A 22,195-nucleotide genomic window follows, 5' to 3' on the forward strand; every position below is an offset into this window, starting at 1 on the left:
AAGAAGAATTCACATAGGCAGATAGTAAGGGTATGGGAGTCCTCAAGTAAGGCTTTTCTCTTCAGTGAAATCAGCCCAATCATTTTCTAACAAGAACAGCCTGTAAAGTCAAGCTGCAGACATATAGACAAGCAAGCTGGGAGCTTGCACAGGTGAATGTCGGCAGGAACTACAAACCAGACATGTTCAAGAGGGTGGTTCCATCTTCCCTTCTCTTTGTCAGCCATGTGTCTAGTAAGGAGTAGACAAGATGGTACCGATCAACTAGAAAGCCCATTTGCGTTAGATTAGGATAGGGCAGCCAGGCTTCCCTGCACGCTATGTAGATGTCATACCTATCAAACCAATCCCCTACGTAAATCAGTCACCGCCTTCTCTAGCCTGCCTATAAAATCTGCTGCGGTCTACTACCTACCCACTTTTTTCAGATGTCTCTCTCAAGGAGCTGCTCTCCTCTCTCCTTTCTTTTATTAAGCTTTCCACTCTTTAACCCACCCACATGGGCCTGTGTCCTGAATTCTTTCTTGGCATGAGACAACGAACCCCAGGGTATATACCCCAGACAATGTAGCCATTTCACTCTCCCACCCCTGCTCTTAAAGGGCCCCACTTGGAGGCCAATAATCCAATTAGAAGATTGGCAAATGAAAAATCTTATAATGACTAGATCCTCTTCTGTTTGTCTGTGTAGCTATATATGTGTTGTGTATGATGTCTATAAAAAGAGTTCTGATTGGCTTAAAAAAAATAAGCACTTAAATATTTTTTAAAGAAAAAAGTTGTCTTTTAGTTCATGTGACTTTAAGAAATAAAAATAGTTTTAAAGATAATTGGTATAAATAAATGTCGTCAAAATGTAAATAGGTGGTCTAAATCATGCAAGTCAGATACTAGGTTTGCTTAATGTTTCAAGGTTGTAAACTGCCTGCTTTACAACTCTGTAAGGCCTAGGGATGTACAAAATTAACCACTCCCCTAACTATGCTGGAAAAAGTCAGACTTTATCTGCACCTAGTACATAATTAAAACAACTTACTAAATTTTAAAGTTAAAAATTGCTAAGAGTTACCATTATAACATGTAAATGAGACTACTGAAAATAGATTTACATACAAGGTGTGTAAGAACAGTAAAATGTTTTGTGGTAAAATATTATAAAAAGGCATGGAAATGTAAATATTGCCTAAGGATAAAGGATTGTTTTGAAACCAACTTAAGGGTAAAATCTTGCTTTCTCTCCCTTGTATACGATTGTCATGTAATAGTGAAGAATAATGAAAGATTTTCATTTGCATGGTGGATAGACTGCCAAGAAGAGGAAAGAAGACAGGAGACAAACTTTGGAAAGCTAAGTCTTCCCTCTTAATGAGTAAAGATTTTTGCCTTGTTTTAAAATTTTTGAGTCATCATTTAGGCAAAGTAAATAACTTATGGTAACCTGGAACTGTATTTCATAATATCAAGTGTTTTAAACCTCTAACATTTAACAGGCTTTTCAAAATCAAACTTCAGTTTCAAAATTGTCTTTCCTGACCCTCTAGCTTTTCAATGCTACAGAGGGCCCTGAAGCATCCAGAAGAGAGGTAAACAGGATTATTTAACATATTTAGGCACGTGGAATTGCCAAAATGATGTTTAATGTTCTTCAGGTTATATTTTAGTGAATAATACTGATATGTGTTCCAAAATTGTATGGGATGTCTAAAATTCCAATGTCTGAGTACATGTTATCAATCAAAATTAAGGTTATGTTAAACCATTGTCAACCACAGAAATAACCAGATTTGTCAATCGTGTTTTTAACTGTAACTACCCTAGAAATTTTGTCATTCACAGACAATTGTCGTCTTGTTTTAAGCTTTTTCAAGAGACAGCTTATAATCAGCTATAAGACTTTAACAGGTGCTTTCACATGCAGGTTTCTGATAACTTTGGAAATCGTGACATGGGAGTAAAGACATACATACTACCAGTTTAGATTCTTTAATGGTTAGTAGTTTAATCAGATATTCTATGTCTTCTTGAATCAATTATGGTATTTTCAATTTTGCAGAAAATTAATTTATCCAACTCTTCAAACATATTAGCATAAAGTTGTGCCTAGTATTCTCATATAAATTTTTCTATATTATCTGTACATGTGCCCTTTTATTCCTATTATGTCTTTTCTTGAAGTCTTATTACTTTTCATTGAGATAAATTTACATATAATTAAAGTGCAAAAACTTTAAGTGTACAGCTTGATAAATTTTTACATATATATGTGTGTATATATATATCTGTTTAACTTCCAACAAAATCAAAATATAGAACATTTCCAATATCCCTAGAAGGCACCTTTGTGGCCTCTAAGTCAATAACCCCAAAATGTCTATGTAAGTAAGTCTGCTTGAATTTCATGTAAATAAAATGCTACAGTATGTACTCTCTTCCTTTAATCTGTAAGATTAATTTTTGTTGTTGTATGTATCAGTAGTACATTTGTTTTGTAGGGCTTTTTGAAAATTAAGTATTCCATTATTTGAGTTGACCATTCAATTTCATTTTTATTTTTTATTTTTATTTTTTTGAGACAGTCTCATCTCACTCTGTCGCCCAGACTGGAGTGCACTGGCACAATCTCAGCTCACTGCAACCTCTACCTCCCAGCTTCAAGCAATTCTCATGCCTCAGCCAGGCTGGTCTCAAACTCCTGGCCTCAAGTGATCCGCCTGCTTGGCCTCCCAAAGTGCTGGGATTACAGGTGTGAGCCACGGCACCCAGCCTGATAATTCAATTTCATCTGTCTCAACTGGGCTTTGTGACCCAGGTATTGTCCTTTGCTAAGAGCCTCAGAATGCTGTTTTGTTTTCACAATTCTGAAAAACAGTTTCAGGAACAACATTCAGGCTATTTCCCTAAACAAAAACAAAAGATAAGTGCAAAAGAAAAAAAGAAAAGAGTGTGTCACCAGAAGGATAATGAGGTTGTCTGATTTGTAAAAGGAAATATCTATAGCTGGAGATAAATGGCAAAGTTGTCCAGCCAGGTAGGTTCCCAAAAGTATTTTAATTTTCTTAATGATTATGTCTGGGGTTACTTTGGTACTTTTCTTACAAGCAAACTTTGTGGCCATAGGCCTCTCCATTTTAAAAAGAATAATTAAATTCTCTACAAAATTACTTTCATTCTCCTTTGCTGAGGGCTTTAGAATCTTCCAGTCCTGTGGAGTTGCTCAGTTTCTTCCCTGGATCCTGTTTTCAAAAACAGACAGAAGGGCAACCCGCTCGGGTCCCCTTCCACACTGTGGAAGCTTTGTTCTTTCGCTCTTCACAATAAATCTTGCTGCTGCTCATTTAAAAAAAAAAAAAAGGAAAGGAAACAGGCCACAGACAGAAAACAGGCCACTGATTGCCTCAGGATTAGGAATGCAGAAGGGAGGATCACAATGGAGCAAGAGTAATCTTTTAGGGGTGATGGATATGTTCATTTATCTTGGCTGAAGTGATGGGTTCACAGGTATATAGATATGTCAAAACTTATCAAACTGTACACATTAAATATGTAAAGTTTATTATATGTCAATTCCACCTAAAAAAATCTGTTAAAAATGGAATAGATACAATATTTATAAAATACATGCAGGTTATAACAAATCATGAAACAACAGAACACTCCCTGTATCCATCACCCAGTTTTTTAAAGTAAATGTTTACTATTTTTAAAAAATTATTTTTTTCTGTGTTCCCTAGCCACCCTAAAGCTCAGGCCTTTTTCTTTTTCTTCTTTCTTTTTTTTTTTTTTTTTTTTAAAGAGATAGAGTCTCACTATGTTGCCCAGACAGGATTTGAATTCCTGGGCTCAAGGTATGCTTCTGTCTTAGCTCCTCAGTAGCTGAGACCATGGGCACCCACCACTGTGCCCAGATTCGGGCTTTCTTGTAAAAAGCGGATGGATGCTTGAAACTATTTTCTGAATCCCTTTGGCTCCCAAATGTGAATATTCTGGGAAATATTTTTATCCAAATTAGCTGAGTAATCGAGTAGTTAGGCACATTTTGAAGACTGAGGCTTGTCCTTTAAAAGAAGGGCAGCCCACAAACTGACTTCCTTGAGCCAAAAATTGTTTTAAAAGGGGAAGTACAGCCCAAAACAGTGATTTTAAAATATCAACAAAAAGAGTCAAATTCTGTAAAATATTTAAAGAGATTTATTCTGAGCCAAATATGAGTGACCATGTCCTGTGACACAGCCCTCGGGAAATCCTGAGAACATGTGCCCAAGGTGGTCAGGGTACAGCTTGGTTTTCTACATTTTAGGGAGACATGAGGCTTCAATCAAATACATTTAAGAAATACATTGGTTCAGTCCAGAAAGGCAGGACAACCCGACGCGAGGCAGGGAGCTTCCAGGTTATAGGTACGTTTTAAATTTTTCTGGTTGACAATTGGTTGAGTTTATCTAAAGACCTGGGATCAATAGAAAGGAAATGTCTGGGTTGCAATAAGAGTTGTGGAGACTGAAGTTTTATTATGCAGATGAAGCCTCCAAGTAGCAGGCTTCAGAGAGAATAGATTGTAAATGTACTTAAGGTCTGCGTTGATGTGAATGCCGGCTTGAGGTATAATGAGGCATATCTGACCCCCACTTCCCCTCATGGCCTGAAACAATCTCTCAAGTTAAATTTTAAAAGCGCCCTGGCCAAGGAGAAAGTCCATTCAGATGGTTAGAGGCCTTAGAACATTATTTTTGGTTTACAAAAACGTTGAGTTGTGAACACTGAGAGCCTCTGCCCAGAATGTAAAAGAGAGAATTCTTGCTGACTGTGGCCGGGCATGCATGTCCTTTCACTTCCTTTTTTTTTTTTTAAAAAAAAAAAAAAAAAAAAAAAAAACAGGGTTTGGGCGGGGGAAGTAAGGGGGATGTGTTATGATAAAGGGGCCTTGGCAGCACTCTTCTGGTGTGGTTTGACCAGGCTCCACCCACGAATTCTGTTTTCTTTTAGAGGTCACTGGAGAGCCCGGTGGGGTGTAAGTACACTGCGCTTATAAAACTCTAGCAGGAAGCTAGCAGCTGTCTCCAAACCCAGAGAAGGGGAAACAGGAATCGATTAGGAATAAAGGATTATAATCCACTTTCCTTCTGAGGAAAAGCTGGGAACCTTCTCATTTTGCCTTATGAAAACTAAGCTGAATCGACTGCTGCCAAACATCTATTAGGCAAAATTGGCCTCTTGCCCATGATTTGACTTTCCAGCACAGCCAGTTCTTTTTCTCCTCTGCAGCTGATTGGCTCTGGAGTGTGGCCAGAAGCCTCTCTCCTGCAATTAAAGGAGTCGGGTCTCTAACTGTTGATCTGTTTTTTTCCCTTCTGAGCAATGGAGCTTACCATCTTTATCCTGAGACTGGCCATTTACATCCTGACATTTCCCTTGTACCTGCTGAACTTTCTGGGCTTGTGGAGCTGGATATGCAAAAAATGGTTCCCCTACTTCTTGGTGAGGTTCACTGTGATATACAACGAACAGATGGCAAGCAAGAAGCGGGAGCTCTTCAGTAACCTGCAGGAGTTTGCGGGCCCCTCCGGGAAACTCTCCCTGCTGGAAGTGGGCTGTGGCACGGGGGCCAACTTCAAGTTCTACCCACCTGGGTGCAGGGTGACCTGTATTGACCCCAACCCCAACTTTGAGAAGTTTTTGATCAAGAGCATTGCAGAGAACCGACACCTGCAGTTTGAGCGCTTTGTGGTAGCTGCCGGGGAGAACATGCACCAGGTGGCTGATGGCTCTGTGGATGTGGTGGTCTGCACCCTGGTGCTGTGCTCTGTGAAGAACCAGGAGCGGATTCTCCGCGAGGTGTGCAGAGTGCTGAGACCGGTGAGTGAAAGGGTGTGAGGAGGACTAGTTAGTAGCAGCTATTATCATAGAGGGCAGGCCTGTCAATTTCAGGTGGCTGAAACATTTTAACATAAAAAGTAAACTACTAGAAAATACTGTAGAATTTTTTAAAATTTTAGCGTGGGAGAGAAGCTATAAAGAGAAAGATTGATAAATCTGAATATAAAAACTTAAAACTGCTATAAAGAAAAAACCTCCTGGCCGGGCACAGTGGTTCACGTCTGTAATCCCAGCATTTTGGGAGGCCAAGGCAGGCAGATCGCTTGAGGTCAGGAGTTCGAGACCAGACTGACCAATATGGTGAAACCCCATCTCTATTAAAAATACAAAAATTAGCCAGGCATGGTGGCAGGTGCCTGTAGGCAGGAGAATCGCTTGAACCTGGTGGGGCAGAGGTTAAAGTGAGCCAAGATTGCACCACAGCACTCCAGCCTAGGCAACAGAGTGAAACTCCATCTCAAAAAAAAAAAAAAAAAAAAAAAGAAAGAAAGAAAAAAAAGAATAAGAAAAAAAAACTCCCCAAAACAAAGTTAAACTACAAAACAAGCTTGGAAAAAATATTTGCCAGGGATGATAGACAAAGGGTTAACTTCCCTCATGTTAAAAGACATTACATGTCAATAAGATCAATATTTTTCAATAAGAAAAACAAAAGGGAAAATGGGCAAATAACAGGAACAGAAATGTAAACCAATTATAGGACAAAAGTGCTCAAACTTAAAGAGTTAATTAAAGGAGATACTAATTTTACCTATTATACTGTTAGGGACTTCTTTTAAGGTCAGTATAGGGTTGGGGTGGGTTTAGGGGACTGGACACCACCATACACATTAGAAGAGGTACCCTCTTTGGGTGGTATCTGATAATATCAAAATTTAAACCACACATACTCTTTTATCCACATGCAAAAACTTGTCCATACACAAGAATATTAAGTAGAATTTGTAATTGCACAAACTGGAAATAACTGAAATGTCTATCAATAGGATGCTATGTAAGTGAGTTGTCATATTGTATAAAGGAACACTGTGCAGCTGTCAGAAAGAACAAGAAGAGTTATCTGTGCTGATACTTAAAAATCCCCAAGGGATAATGTTTAATGAAAACAAAAAGCAATCAAGCCACAGAATGTTAGGTAGAGCGTAGGCCCACCACATGCCCATTGTGTGAGGCAGGGAGAGGAGATACATATATGTGTATAAGTTAATGGGAATGACAGACAAGTAACTATTAACAGTGGTTGCCTTTGGGGAATGGGATTGGATTCAGGGAAAGAATTACTTTTCATTTTAAACCTTTCCGTAAAGTCTGTAATTCTTTATACCTGTATGTAGTTTTCACATATTACCCTTATTATTTTTAGCTAGTTTAAAATCGTTTTATATTCTGAACAAAGTTGAAGATATGGATATCTTAACATTTGAATTTACTCTTCTGGGGGAAAGGCATGTTTTGTAATCCCCAGTTTTCATTTTTTGTTGAGACAGGGTTTCCCTCTGTCACCCAGGCTGGAGTGCAGTGGCATGATCACAGCTCACTGCAGCCTTGACCTGCTGGACTCAAGCAATCTTTCCGTCTCAGCCTCCCCACCCTCCCAGCAGCTGGGACTACAGGCATGCACCACCACACCCAGCTAGTTTTTGTATTTTTGTAGAGATGAGGTTTCGCCATGTTGCCCAGGCTGGTCTCAAACTCCTGGGCTCAAGTGGTCTGCCCACTTTGGCCTCTCAAAGTGTTGGGATTACAGGTGTGAGCCACCATGCCCAACCATCAGTTTTATTTTCTAATAGAGGAAGTTCCTCAGGAAGAAAAGAACTTGGAGATAGGGTTTAGGGAAAATCATACAATCCTGTCTTGGCTCAATATCAGAGTAGTAAATAAAAAAGGACTGATTCTTATACCCAAATGCTGGGTTCTTATATGCTAAGACTGGGCACCAACTGGCACATTAGTAGATGTTTTGCTTACAGTGTTACTAATCTCCCAACACCGCTGCAAGGCAGGTAATTATTATCTCAGTTTTCCAGTGCCAAAAATCAATTGAACTCTTAAAGTTATCACATTCGTGATAGTCTTCCTTAGCTCCTGCCAAGCACCCACTCTCTGCTGGATATAACAAGGGAACTTTATTACATTTTCATTTAACCCTGTCAACAGTCCTCTAAAGTACATATCTTCATGTTAGGACAAAGAAACAGACTCAGAGAGATTAAGGAATTTGCCCAAAGTTACACAGCTAGTAGACATGGCTCTCTTTAATGCAAATGCAAATATTCCTTTTTTTTGAAACAGAGTCTTGCTCTGTCGCCCAGGCTGGTGTACAGTGGCATGATCTTGGCTAACTGCAGCCTCCACCTCCCAGGTTCAGTGACTCTCCTTGCCTCAGCCTCCCGAGTAGCTGGGTTTACAGGCACATGCTACCACGCCTGGCTAACTTTTATATTTTTAGTAGGGATGGGGTTTCACCATGTTGGCCGGGCTGGTGTCCAACTTCTGGCCTCAAGTGATCCACCCACCTTGGCCTCCCAAAGTGGTGGGATTACAGGTGTGAGCCACCGCGCCCAGCCAAATGCAAATGCAAATATTCTTACCACTGTACCACAGTGCTTGTTATTGGGGTTTTCATCTTTCTGATTTCAACATTGCTATCACTCTTGCTGGCTCTTCTTCCTCTACCCATCTCCTACCACTGGGGTTCCTTTCTTGGTGACACAGGATTTTTGCTCCTTAGCTCAGCTAGGTCCAGGTTCTTGTCTCACATTCAGGAAGAAATAGGCACGTGAACATGGAAGAGTGAGTGGAGTAGAATTTATCAAGCGAAACAGAAAGCTCTCAGCAAAAAGAGGGGTCCTGAAAACAGGTTGCTGGTTGCCCCCTTCGCAACTGAAAAGCTGATGGAGCTGGATTCCCTGTTTGTAAAGGCATGAATTCCTGGTGGCTCCACCCCATTCCCCCAGCGTGCATGTGGGGCCTTAGTGGGCTGCAGGCATGTTTAGGCAAGCCCCTGTGCAAGTTCCCTTATCTGCACAAAACATCTCATGTAACCATTTGTGGGACTGGTCAGAAGTTCTTCCGGGACCCTTCCCTACTGTCTGCCTAAAGCAAGCTGGCTAACTCCTTTCATTGGTTCATTTCACTTATATACACTCCCCAGCAATCTCATATACCTCCACAGTTCTCAAATACCACATATATACAGATGTTTCCAAATCTAAACATCTATCCCAGGTCTCTCTTCTGACCCCAAACCTTCATATCCAGCCGTCTACTCAACAGTCTCCTGGATTGCTCAGAGGCACCTCTTAACATATGTAAACCAGAGGGCAACACTGACCTCCCCAAACCTGCCTCTCCTCCTTTATGCTGCCCTATCCTATGAAGATTTTTTTTAAAATCAGGGCCGGGCACGGTAGCTCACGCCTGTAATCCCAGCACTTTGGGAGGCCTAGACAGGAGGATCACTTGAGCTCAGGAGTTCGAGACCAGCCTGGGCAATGCGGCGAAACTCTGTCTCTATAAAAAAAAAAATTAGCTGGGTGTAGTGGTGTGCACCTGTTGTCCCAGCTACTTGGGGGGCTGAGGCAGTAGGATTGCTTGAGCCCAGGAGGCAGAGGTTGCAGTGAGCTGAGACTGTGCCACTGCATTCCATCCTGGGTGACAGAGCCAGGCCCTGTCTCAAGAAATAATAAATGAATAAATAAATCAGGAAATTCCAATTTTTCTATTCGTAACATAGGTCTTACACTGACCCATATAATTTGGGGAAACTCCATCACTAAACTGAATTCTCTCTCTAAACTCTGCCTGAGGAGCCAAGACTAGGATAACTAGAGGAGGCCAAGAAGAGTGGTGCAGTTACCACAATTTTGTGAGGTGACTGTCTGGTCCCTTGCTCCTTACTCCCCTCAGAGGTAGATATGTAGAAAACTTCTGAAGATGTCCCCACACATAACATGTAATAACATCTATTGTGCCTGTACTTGATCAACATTTATAAAACTCCTCAATGAAAGCAGCAGTTGCTAATTCCTACAAAGAGTAATTTACATTTAGCATCCACTGACTGAATAAAATACCTAATGACAAAATGTTACCTTGAATTCAGTAATGATTTTAGATGAATCAGAATTTTCATTAATCATATCACGTACATATTTGTGAAAATGGCACAAAAATTTAAAACATGGTTATTCAGTCTCAAGGGTGTGCTTAGTGTGGAGTGACCCTCCTGCTCAGAACTCTACGGTTCTCTCACAGGTTTGCAAGGCAGTGCCAGAGAACAATTTTCAAAAAATAAATTAAAAAAGCAGAAATGAAAAAATCCTTGAAATGTTTTTTTTTTTCTTTCTTTCTCAGGGAGGGGCTTTCTATTTCATGGAGCATGTGGCAGCTGAGTGTTCGACTTGGAATTACTTCTGGCAACAAGTCCTGGATCCTGCCTGGCACCTTCTGTTTGATGGGTGCAACCTGACCAGAGAGAGCTGGAAGGCCCTGGAGCGGGCCAGCTTCTCTAAGCTGAAGCTGCAGCACATCCAGGCCCCACTGTCCTGGGAGTTGGTGCGCCCTCATATCTATGGATATGCTGTGAAATAGTGTGAGCTGGCAGTTAAGAGCTGAATGGCTCAAAGAATTTAAAGCTTCAGTTTTACATTTAAAATGCTAAGTGGGAGAAGAGAAACCTTTTTTTTGGGGGGCGGTTTTTTTGGTTTGTTGTTGGTTTTTTTTTTTTTTTTGGCGGGAAGAAAGAGTTTTGCTCTTGTTGCCCAGGCTGGAGTGCAATGACGTGATCTCCGCTCACTGCAACCTCCACCTCGCGGGTTTAAGCGATTCTTCTGCCTCAGCCTCCCTAGTAGCTGGGATTACAGGTGCCCACCACCATGCCCAGCTAATTTGTATTTTTAGTTGAGACAGGGTTTCACTACGTTGGCCAGGCTGGTCTTGAACTCCTGATCTCAGGCAATCCACCCACCTCAGCCTCCCAAAGTGCTGGGATGACAGGCGTGAGCAACCGCACCCAGCTTAAGGTTTTTTTGTTTTGTTTTGAGACGGAGTTTTCGCTCTTGTTGCCCAGGCTGGAGTGCAATGCTGTGATCTCAGCTTACCACAACCTCCACCTCCCGGGTTCAAGTGATTCACCTGCCTCAGCCTCCTGAGTAGCTGGTATTACAGGCATGCGTCACCACGCCGGCTAATTTTGTACTTTTAGTAGAGATGGTGTTTCCCCACGTTGGTCAGTCTGGTCTCAAATTCCTGACCTCAGGTGATCTGCCTGCCTCGGCCTCCCAAAGTGCTGTGATTACAGACGTCAGCCACCATGCCTGGCCTGAAACCTTTTTTAGGTAAAGTTGAATTCCATCCTTAAAAGTTTCTGTTATATCCTATTTAGCCATTTTCTATTGTCTCCCAAAGAATTCACATCAAAAAAACAGCTTTGAACTCCCCCTTCAAAGGAAACAGTCGACTTTCATAATTAGCATCTACCATTATCCCCAAATCTTATTTTATTCATTGACTTGAAATTTTTTCCAATTGCTTTTTTTTTTTTTTTTTTAAGGTTAAGAGCAGAGGTTTACTAGGCCAAAGAAAGAGAATAGCTCTCTGTTGCAGAGAGGGGTCCTGGAGAAATGGGTTACCCCAGTTGTCTTATTTAAATGGTTACCCATCAGATTTTAATTTTATCTTCTCTTTGAGAGCTTGGTAATAAGAAGCACTTAAATCACTCCAAAGAAGACTTTAAAAAGGGAGCAGTGAAAAGGTCTTAATAATTTATTGATTGAATTAAGAAATACTAGCTAATTAAGAATCTGAGTCTAAACAGCACAGATTTTTTCTTTCTGCTTTTAAATTGTGTTTTAAAAAAAGAGACAGGGGGCTGGGCGTGGTGGCTCACGCCTGTAATCCTAGCACTTTGGGAGGCCGAGGCGGGTGGATCACGAGGTAGGAGTTAAAGACCAGCCTGGCCAACATGGCAAAACCCTACTAAAGATACAAAAAAAAAAAAAAATTAGCCAGGCGTGGTGGTGGGTGCCTGTAATCCCAGGTACTTGGAAGGCTGAGGCAGGAGAATCTCTTGAACCCAGAAGGCGAAGGTTGCAGTGAACCGAGATCATGCCATTGTACTCTAGCCTGGGTGACAAGAGCAAGACTCCGTCTCAAAAAAAAAAAAAAAAAAAAAAAGAAGTAGAGACAGGGAGACAGGGTCTCACTGTGTTGCCTAGGCCGGTCTTGAACTCCTGGGCTCAAGTGATTCTCCCACCTTGACCTCCTAAATTGTTGGGATTACAGGTGTGAGACAGTGCACCTGGCCGAAATAGCTCAAGTTTCTGAAAAACAAATCTGAATCTATTTGTTATTCTTAGCGTCACTGGTCTGGCTTTCAGAATTAACATACAAGGTTGCCACACCTAGTTCTGCCCAGCTTTATGTCTTTTATTCCAGTATTCCACCAAAGTTTGTTTTCCTGCATTCCAGTTCTCAAGTCTTAAGATAAAGATTGTACTTGACAGTTTAGTATATCCATAAAACTATTTGAGGTGGTTAAGGTTCTTGGGTTCATTTTCCTTAATACTTTGCTGAATATTGTAGATTGTAGGCAATGAAAAAGTCTACTAAATTAGGAAAACCTTGAATAATTAGGTATCCTAGGTAAGAGCCCCTAAACATCAAGCAATCTGTGAGTCTGTAAAGAAATAAATATTTTTTGGATTATTCTTATCTAATTCCACCCCTGTTGGAAGATGATTTCTTTGTTCTTTGCAACTATGGAAGCTGTGAAAATCATCACAAGTGCCTCTGAAAGCGAGTGTTAGGTTGGTTAGAGGGTTTAATATTTTCTGCAATGGTTTGTAGGAATTTTAATAAATGTAGTATATTTTCTGAGATGATTTTGTAAAAGTACTATTTTAAATATCAAATCAACCAATAAATTCACATTTGTGTTAGGAACAGAAATATGGTTTATATCTTTGCTGGCTTGGTTTCCTTTTTCTTAATGTCTCTGGGAGGCTTATTCCTTCATTGTGGAAATTTTAGCTATTTAAACATGTAAATTTTTCTTTCTACAGCCAGGTAACTATAAACACAGCCAATAGATTTTACACAAAGCAATCCTAGAAGTATCAGAATGGGTTTTGAAAAGTTCAAGTCCATCATGTGATCATGTTTGGCTACTTTAAAAAAGCAAAAAAGTTCAAGTCTAACGATCCCATTTGTGAAATCCACAGAGCAGAAAGAAAGGAAGCTTTTACTATTTTAACTATCTCTTGAACGTGAAAAGTTATTGATGCAGTGAGGTCGAATGCACACCTACTGCTTCCTAAGCTCTGGAACATGAATCTCCTTCCTCTGTCATCTCCCCAGAATTGGAACCTCCTTAATCCAACCATCTCACTATTGGTCAGTCTAGTGATTGAGAAATAGGAAAAGCCACAGGTTGAAATGATGAAATGTCATTACACTGAAAGATAATACCAAAGTACAAAGTCCTAGGCACAGTCTTGTCAATTCCCTCTTGTCTAAGTGGTGTGGCAAATATTATTGTCACTTTTCAGAGAAAACTGAGGTGTAGAGAAATAAATAAATGAAGTTTTTTACAGTCATTCCACAAGTTACTGAGCAAGTCTTAGAAGCCCTGACTCCCCAAACCACAAAATCTCCTTTGATAATCATTGCTGCCATAACACCTTCTTTTACTGCTTTCCTCCTTGAATCCAGAGAACACATATTTATAATCATTTTAAGAGCCTGAGGAAATGACTTCAGCCTGTGCAAAAGGGAGAAAGAAAAAAAGGCAAAACATGTCCAATGTCTTTTAGGTCCTATATTGGTTAGGAATCCTTTGATTCCAAGTGACAGAATCCCAATCCAAACAGACTTAAGCAGAAAAAGGACTATCAACTCAAATTAGTGAAAATCATACAGGCAGAAAGCCTCAGGCACAGCCTGAACAGGGCTCAGATAATGTTATCAGGAGCCAGACAATCTCTAGGGTCATGTCTGTCCTCCCCTCTGCTCTATTAGGTAGCAAGTTGGTAGAAATGGCTCTGACCTTCATGCTTCCAGGGCACAAGCCCAGTTAGAAAGAGCAAGCCTACTTTTTGTGGCCATACCAGACCAATCTGATTTAACCTTTATGTAACAAAGTTGTGAGTTGTTTTTCAGTTGCCAATGGACCCTCAGGTCATGTGCCCTGAGCACACCCAGATGAACCAAGCCTGCAACCACAGGGGGAACCTAAGCTAAGTGCTCAGTCCAAGGATGGGGACTGAATTAAGAAGCAGACACATGGGAGGATCCATGACCGATCAGATCAAGCTGTGGTATCACCCCATGGCAGGATCCAGTCAGATCATGCCTCCCGGCATCACCTCATTGCAAGATCCAATCAGATCATGCCTCATTACCCTATACTTACAAAACCTGACCAAGCCCCCAGCTCTGGGAGATACTGCTCTGGGAGATACAGCCCTGGCATTCTCCTTACTTGTTGCAAGTAATAAAATCCCCTTGCTAAATGCTCCTTGGTTGTGGTCATTGGGTTGAATTTGCAATGGATGCTAGGAAGGCACATAACAAATATACATTATAAACCCATTGCTGGATTTCACCGGATTTGGATCAGACCCTGTCTGTCTTCCTATGGGAGATCATATAGTACAATGCTTAGAACACTGGATTTTCAGTGGGATAACTGCTTGCAACAAAGAAAGTAAAAGACAAATTGAAACACTGGCTTTGGCATCAAAGTGACATGGTCAAGTCCTGGTTGTGTCATTGGTTGAGTCTGTGACCTTGAGCAAGTTATCTGTTTTTTCATCTGTAAATGGGGGTATCTACCTAAAAGGTTATGCTGAGGAGTAAATGAAGCAATGCACTTGGCACTTAATATAGGTTGACTTCATTCAACAGATATTTATTGAGTGTCTACTGTGTGCTCTGCTCTTAGTGCCTGGCTTAGAGCCCTGAATAACTAGACATATCCCTGCCTGCGTGGAGCATACAATGATGATAAATGTTTTCTATAGATGAGGAAGAAGCTCAGGGTGCCCAGCGAATGTAATCTGACCTATCCAAGAGGAGAAGCTCTGAGGCTTTCTTGAGGAAGTAACATCTGAGCTGAATTCCAAAGAATGAAAAAAGAATATTTCAGTCAACTAGAATAGCTCGTGCCACAGCCAAGTGAAAGGAGGAAACACACTATATTCAAGGAAATGAAAGAAACCAGACAGGGCTGGGCACCAGAGCCTCAAGGGCAGATTCTAGGATGGTTACTATTTCCATCAGTTTCTTCCTAAATCTTGTTAAGACCCTGGGACAATGAGCCAAATGCTTATTTTAATGGCTGACACACACACACACACACAAAGGTACATTAAAATGTCTTATATTCTGAAACATTTTTTATTCCCAAGTGTTCTAATATTCAAATTGTTTCATCTGAATTCCTACATAGTTCAAACTTGAATAGAAAGTAAAGCAGACATTGCCTAATAGTTCCTTTTGTACTCTTGATCGTACCATAAGCCTTCCCCTTTCGTCTTGGTTTAGAAAACACAGAACTTAACATAACTGAAATTCTTGTTTATCTGTTAAAGTAATTAAAAGTCTGATGAATCATAGCAAACCAGTACCAACAAAAGCAAAAAGGCAAACTGTTCAGTATCACTTTAACTCTCTCAATATTTAAAACCAGAAGCATTAGGCTACATTAAAAAATAAAAAGAATTCCCTGTTGAACTGTGGAGCCACTGGTTAATCCCAGTGCCAGAGAAACGGAGCAGAGGTCACCTGAACAAAGGGCAAAGTAAATAATGAACCAGCAATGTGCAAGGTATTATTTTGTTTCTAAAGGAAACCATCTTGGGAACCTGCAGAGAACTACATGGTAACATATATGTGAACTAGGAAAATTACCATTCAGAATTTACCGTTTTTTGTTTTGTTGTTTTTTGAGACACGGTCTCCCTCTGTGGCCCAGGCTGTAATGAGGTGGTGTGATCATGGCTCACTGCAGCTTCAATCTCCCAGGCCCAAGTGATCATCCTGCCTCAGGCTCCTAAGTAGCTGGGACCACAGGCATGCACCAGCACACCTGGTTAATTTTTTTATTTTTAGTAGAGATAGGGTCTCACCGTGTTGCCCAGGCTGGTCTCAAACACCTAGGCTTAAGTGATCCTCCCTCCTCAGCCTTCCAAAGTTCTGGGATTACAGGCATTAGCCACCACACCCAGCCCCAGAATTTAACATTCTTAAAAGTAAAAAGCATGATAGTCTTACTTGAGGCTGCATGTTTCTCAATCTTTAAACATGTATCTGACACTGCCGGGCACAGTGGCTCGTGCCTGTAATCCCTGCACTTTGGGAGGCCAAGGTGGGCAGATTACCTGAGGTCAAGAGTTCAAGACCAGCCTGGCCAACATGTTGAAACCTCATCTCTACTAAAAATACAAAAAGTTAGCCGGGCGTGGTGGAGGCCACCTGTAATCCCAGCTACTTGGGAGGCTGAGGCAGGAGAATTGCTTGAACCTGGGAGGCAGAGGTTGCAGTGAGCCAAGATCACACCATTGCACTCCAGCCTGGGCAACAAGAGCAAAACACCGTCTCAAAAAAAAAAAAAAAATGTACCTCACACTGATGTCAATCTTCTCTTTGGAATAATCCTTTTATTCCATGTCCCAAATATCTAATAATTTCCATTTCTTAAGTATCTTCTTTATGCAAGGCACTATTTATTTATAGAGACAGGATCTTGCTATGTTGCCCAGGCTGGTCTCAAACTCCTGGGCTCAAGCAATTCTCAAGTCTCAGCCTCCCAAAGTGCTGTGATTACAGGCATGAGCTATCACACTCAGCTGGCATTAACTTTTTAAACAATTATTTCACATAGTACTTATAACTCTACAAGACAGGGATAATTATCCCCATTTGACAAATGAGAAAACAGATTTGCATATTTCTTGTCCAAGGCCATGAAGTGAGTGTCCACACCAGTGTTCCCATGCAGTTTGCCTGACTCAGAAGCCCAGGCCTCCCCCACTACACTGTATAGCTTCCCAAGATCATCTTCTGAGTCCAAGATCTCCATATTTGTCTCTTCTCTCCTCCACCATTTCACTGTGATGGTCTCCTGAGACTCATTTGTTCTGTATTATTCTATGTTCAATCCCTTGACCCTTTCTTCCACTCTTAGGTCATGAAAAATCACCTGTGTGAAGATTCCTAAACCTCATACTTTTGCCAATCCTTTGATATTTAGAATTTAACACAGCAAAACCAGAATACACTGTCTCCTTTCCTAAATAAATAACACTGTCTAACTTCTCTACTACCTATGATTATTTCTGTATTATTTAAGGATCAGATAAAGTGATGCCCCTTCTACAAAGCATTCTCTGGCTATTTCAAGAAACTTCCTCTTTGAGAAATCTCTTATCACTAACACCCAGAGGTATGATTTCACACCAGCAATTTCTTCTTTGTTTCTTCTACATGTCAGACACATTGCTTATTACATAGCACGTGCTCAAAAAGTATTTACTGATTAAATCATCATAAGTACTGCCTGTTCTTCTGACAAGGATTTTTTTGGTGCTGCTTTGCCAGACGCAGACCTCCATGGCTAGTGACACCCCTGCCCAGGGCCTTACTCCACCCTGGGCTTGCCGCAGGAGACACCTGACCCCCTAAACCCAGCAGGGCTGCACTTGGCTTGTGCTCTGGCTCAGATCCTGCAACTTTCTGTGGGATCTGTACTCAGCCTGCAGCTGGGCCAGGTATGCCAAGACCTGCCTCCAGCTTGGGCGTGGCATCTGGACGAGGGGAATGTGGTGACATCACAAAAACTTGGAGGCACCATTGACCCCGAAGCCTCAAAGTGGTGTTACAGCATGTCACAGCCCTGGCTTGGGGAGCCCTTAGATCTGGACTCCCAGAAGGGCCGCAGCTTTTCTTTCCTTCTCATCGCCTGCAACGTGACGAGCAGGAAGGGTTGCAGAAGGGTGGTGTGTGCTTCAGTCCATTTGTGTTGCAGCTCTTTCAGTCCCACCATTCGGCGGGTCCCTCGGTGGGTCCCAAGTTCTTGTTCCGTGTCCTGGAACAATGAGGTACATAGACACTGGAGGGTGAAGAAGGCAGAAGAGAGCTTCACTGAGCCACAGAACAGCTCTCAGGAGACCTGAAGTGGGTAACTCCTTTCTGCAGGCAGGACATCCCATCAAGCATGCAGCCCTCAGCAGAGAGGAGACCCAGAGTGGGTAGCTGCTATCTGCAGGCAGGTTGTCTCATTGAGTGTGTGAGTCTGGCTGAGTCTGGGGACTTTATGTGCTCAGAATGGAGGAAGTGCATGCTGATGGGTCCATGGGCAGCCATGCATGGGCCTGGGAAAAGCATTATCTGATTGGCCAAACGGTCATCAATGAAATTCTCACTCTGAGTTGTGGACTGTACCTGGAACTGGCAGCCTGGCCCCCCAACCTTCTGGCCATCCCTGACTTGAAGATGGGGTTTCACTGGGTACCTGCCCCTTCCAGCCTAGGAAACTGAACTTCCTCCCTCCGCCATCAATATGCCCTCCACAGCGCCCAGGCTGTCTGTGCCAAGGGGTGCCTGCAGGCCCCTTCCAAGCTTCCCTCTGCACCCCTCCACCCCCCCACCCCCCTACACACCCCTCGGTGTCCAAAGTCTGGAAGGGGCCCAGGTGGCAGAGGGCTGGCAGGAGGCTGGCGTGTCAGCACCGCCCTGAGTGCATGCACCCCCTGCTAGGTTGTGACAGTGCTGGAGCTTGGGGCTACAACTTTGTTCCACACCAGAGCGAGTACTGGGAGTGGGTAGAGGCCAGGGAGCAGGCACTTCCAAGCCTGTTGGGGAAGGGGGTTTCCCAGACTTCCAAGAGCACAGGGATGCCCAGGTCCAGAACCGTGGCTGGCCAGCTGCAGCTGTGCCCAGGAGTGCAGGGCTGGTGCCCCACCAACTCAGTAGGGCACAGGGCTCCTTCCTGTTCCCAGCCCCTGTGGACTCTACAGAGTGTGCAGCCCTGGCCATGCCTCCCCTACTGTAGCTGGCATCCTTGTAGCAGCCGCTCCAGATGGCCCGCTACAACCATCACTTCTACATACCTCTCATTTGTCCCTTCCACTCCATTTCCACAGCTATCACCATCACCTTAGTTTGAGAACTAGTGCCTGGATAACTATTTGTATAAGTTGACCAGGGATGGCTGGAATGACAAACCATTTGTGTGAGAACTTGCCAGTTATTGCCTAGTTACTCAAAGGATATGACAGGAAAGTAGGGAAGACACTAAGTCTAGATAAAACAGTAGAAAAACACTCCTTTTGCAACTGACTCAATCTTCCTTGCCCTTCTTTGTCCAATTCACCCCACTAACATAGCATGGCAAAAAGAGAAGCTTAGCAAGCAATTTTCCTGGGGTACAAAGAAGTGGCTTCCTAGATAAGCACCAATATCTGATCTAAAGCATAGTGTCTAATACCTAACAATGCTACATGTTGGTCTCCATACCTCCACACCTTCACTCCTCCTGTCTTCCTACTCACCATTTCCAGAATGAGGACAATCTTTCTTAACAGTTTATTTGTATTTATTTATTTTGAGACGGAGTCTTGCTCTGTCACCCAGGGTAGAATGCAGTGGTGCGATCTTGGCTCACTGCAACTTCTACCTCCCAAGTTGAAGCAATTCTCCTGCCTCAGTCTCCTGGGTATCTGGAATTACAGGCATCTGCCACCACACCCAGCTAATTTTTGTATTTTTAGTAAAGACGGGGTTTTGCCATGTTAGCCAGGCTGGTCTCCAAAACCTGGCCTCAAGTGATCTGCCTACCTCGGCCTCCCTAAGTGCTGGGATTAGAGGCATGAGCCACTGCACCTGGCCTGAAGTAACAGTTTAATTTGGCTATTCTCACAACTCAAAATTATGAAAGTACCTACTAATGATAAAATCGAATTTAAGCCGCTCATCTCTGTATTTAGGGCTGTCAGTGCTGCCTCGACACTTTTACCTGCTTTGTGGTGCAGTGGAAAACCATGAGGTTTGGAGTCAGAATATTTGAATCCAGATCTCATCATTGCATCTAATATCATTATTAACTTAGTAAAAGAGGATACCACCACCTACATCTCCCAGGATTCTTATGAGGATGAAATGAGATAAACACAAAAGGTGCTTCATAAACCATAAAACTGCCAGTGTTGAGCACTGGAACTTCTCCACACAGTCTCTCACTCTGGTCAAGGCCTGCTTCCTTAAGCATTTGTAAGAGGAACAGAATGTTTATTTTTCTATCAGAAAAGATATTTTACTTCTATAAATGTAGCCTTGAAATTCCAATCATCTGGATTTTTTTTTTTTTTTTTAGCCTAGTCAATTGAAGCAGTGGGAGTGGAGGAGGAACAAAAATCTATAACTGGCTGTGATCAGTTCACTGTAAACACCACTGCACTCAAACCAACCCATCTGGATTATTATACATTATAATGTTTTCTGAAGATTTGGTATATTTTAAAGGCTTCTGTCGTAAAAAAAATAGTTTGCAAAATTCTTATTTTTGTACCTAACAAAAAGTTCAGCACCCTCATGAGAAGCACTTGCTTCAATTGCTACAAAAAAGTTCCAGACAGACTGCTTGTGGATATAAACATGGTTTTCTAAATCTCTCTAATCTTGGCTCCCATCTTATCTGTCAAGCTAAGCAGGTAGTATTAGAACTATAAAAGAAACACCATCTAATTAATTCTATCTTGCCTATCAGGTTATGGGAACAGATTACTAAATCTAATCCCAGAGGAAGAGCTTCTTTGATCTTATTGTCCACTGAAGTTTAGAAATAAATCTAAAATCCTTCCTAAAAAAGCAAAGGCTTGGCCAGGTTTAATGGCTCACACCTGAAAACCCAGCAGTATGGGAGGCCAAGGTGAGAAGATCACATGGTGCCCAGAAGATTAAGACCTAACTGGGCAACACGGTGAGATCTCATCTCTACAAAAAATTGTTTTCAAAAATTAGCCGGGTCTAGTGGCACATGTCCATAGTCTCGCTACTCAGGAGGCTGAGGTGGGAGGCTTGCTTGAACTTGGTAAGTCGAGGCTGCAGTGAGCCGTGATTGCACCACTGCAATCCAGCCTGGGCGACAGAGTGAGACCCCATCTCAAAAAAAAAAAAAAGACTGCAATATTAAAATAAACAGATGTACATCTATATATCTACAAATATAAATGATGCTGTATACCAAGTTGCTTGCCAATGCATACAATCCCATTTGCCCCAATTTTTCTTTTCTTTTTTTTCTGGAGATGGAGTCTCACTCTGTCACCCAGACTGGAGTGCAGTGATACGATCACAGCTCACTGCAGCCTCAACCTCCCAGGCTCAAGTGATCCTCCCACCTTAACTTCCCAAGTAGCTGGGACCACAGGCATGTGCCACCATGCCCGGCTAATTTATTTATTTTTATTTTTATTTTTTTACAAAAAACCGAGATGAGGTCTCACTGTATTGCCCAGGCTGGGCTTGCACTCCTGGCCCTCAAGCAATCCTCCCTCTTGGGCTTCCCAAAGTGCTGAGCCACCATACCCAGCTGAATTTTTTCATTTTTAGTAGAGATGGGGTCTCCCTATGTTACCCAGGCTGGTCGCAAACTCCTGGGCTCAAGTGATTCCTCCGCCTCGATCTCCCAAAGTGCTGAGATTACAACCATGAGCCACTGCACTCAGCCTGCCCCAATTTTTTAAATGGGAGGAAACATTGGAGAAAGTGAACTATTAATACATTGTTAACCTGTCAGCCCACGTTTTTGCCACTGTGCTTTTATTTTTTTCCTTTCATATTCTGGGCTCCTGAGTAAAATTCTATAAACATTGGCCTTACGTTTGCACAACATTTGGATGGCAGGTATGCCTAAAAACATGAGAATTAGGTAAAAATGGTGCCATCTAATGCCAATTCTTAACTTTTATGGTGGGAGGGGCGGTATGGTCATCAACAACCTTGAGAATCTGATGAAAGGTATAGGTCCTCTCTCTAGAAAAATGCTCCTACAAATAAACGTACCATTTCAGGAGGAAACAGATAAAACAAACACTTCCAAAGCACCACATATGAAATTTTAAACTCAAAAGTCCCATTCTCTAAACCCAGACTCCTAGCCTTTTACATCTCCCACTAAACCTGATCCTTAACTTAGAGACTTCCAATGCCTCCACTCTACCTGGTCTGTTTCTGGCTATCAACCAGGACTGATTCCCTTCTCCCACCAGGCTGAACTACAGAGTAAATCAATTCATTAACATTATCACTCTCCTATTCA

General features: G+C 42.1%; 2 protein-coding genes across 3 annotated transcripts in view, besides 3 other annotated features; both read left to right on the forward strand.

The window, feature by feature from the left end:
- Positions 4,446–4,655: an enhancer, noted in NCBI's record as "active region_6365". NCBI's record gives its function as "activates an Ori minimal core promoter by ATAC-STARR-seq in GM12878 lymphoblastoid cells {active_cell/tissue: GM12878}" and the evidence as "EXISTENCE:reporter gene assay evidence [ECO:0000049][PMID:35858748]".
- On the forward strand, positions 5,332–12,825 carry TMT1A (thiol methyltransferase 1A). Its single transcript, NM_014033.4, has 2 exons — positions 5,332–5,853; positions 10,231–12,825. The coding sequence occupies exons 1-2, from the start codon at positions 5,356–5,358 to the stop codon at positions 10,465–10,467; spliced, it is 735 nt and encodes a 244-aa protein (NP_054752.3). The 5' UTR covers positions 5,332–5,355; the 3' UTR covers positions 10,468–12,825.
- Positions 5,669–6,212: an enhancer, noted in NCBI's record as "H3K27ac-H3K4me1 hESC enhancer chr12:51319135-51319678 (GRCh37/hg19 assembly coordinates)". NCBI's record gives its function as "activates a minimal SCP1, AML or CMV promoter by ChIP-STARR-seq in naive H9 embryonic stem cells {active_cell/tissue: H9 hESC(naive)}" and the evidence as "EXISTENCE:reporter gene assay evidence [ECO:0000049][PMID:30033119]".
- The window catches only part of HIGD1C (HIG1 hypoxia inducible domain family member 1C), a 41,483-nt gene continuing 30,714 nt past the window's right edge, over positions 11,427–22,195 (forward strand). For both annotated transcript variants that reach the window (XM_017019783.3, XM_017019784.3), the window contains exon 1: positions 11,427–17,975. In XM_017019783.3, the coding sequence (XP_016875272.1) occupies positions 17,971–17,975 (5 nt within the window). In that variant the 5' untranslated portion in view covers positions 11,427–17,970. The remainder of the gene's footprint in view (positions 17,976–22,195) is intronic.
- Positions 14,143–14,437: an enhancer, noted in NCBI's record as "tiled region #4642; HepG2 Activating non-DNase unmatched - State 5:Enh, and K562 Activating DNase matched - State 5:Enh". NCBI's record gives its function as "activates a minimal TATA promoter and a strong SV40 promoter by Sharpr-MPRA in HepG2 and K562 cells {active_cell/tissue: HepG2 | K562}" and the evidence as "EXISTENCE:reporter gene assay evidence [ECO:0000049][PMID:27701403]".

This window comes from Homo sapiens, chromosome 12 (genome assembly GCF_000001405.40).
Source record: "Homo sapiens chromosome 12, GRCh38.p14 Primary Assembly".
Classification (NCBI taxonomy): domain Eukaryota; kingdom Metazoa; phylum Chordata; class Mammalia; order Primates; family Hominidae; genus Homo; species Homo sapiens.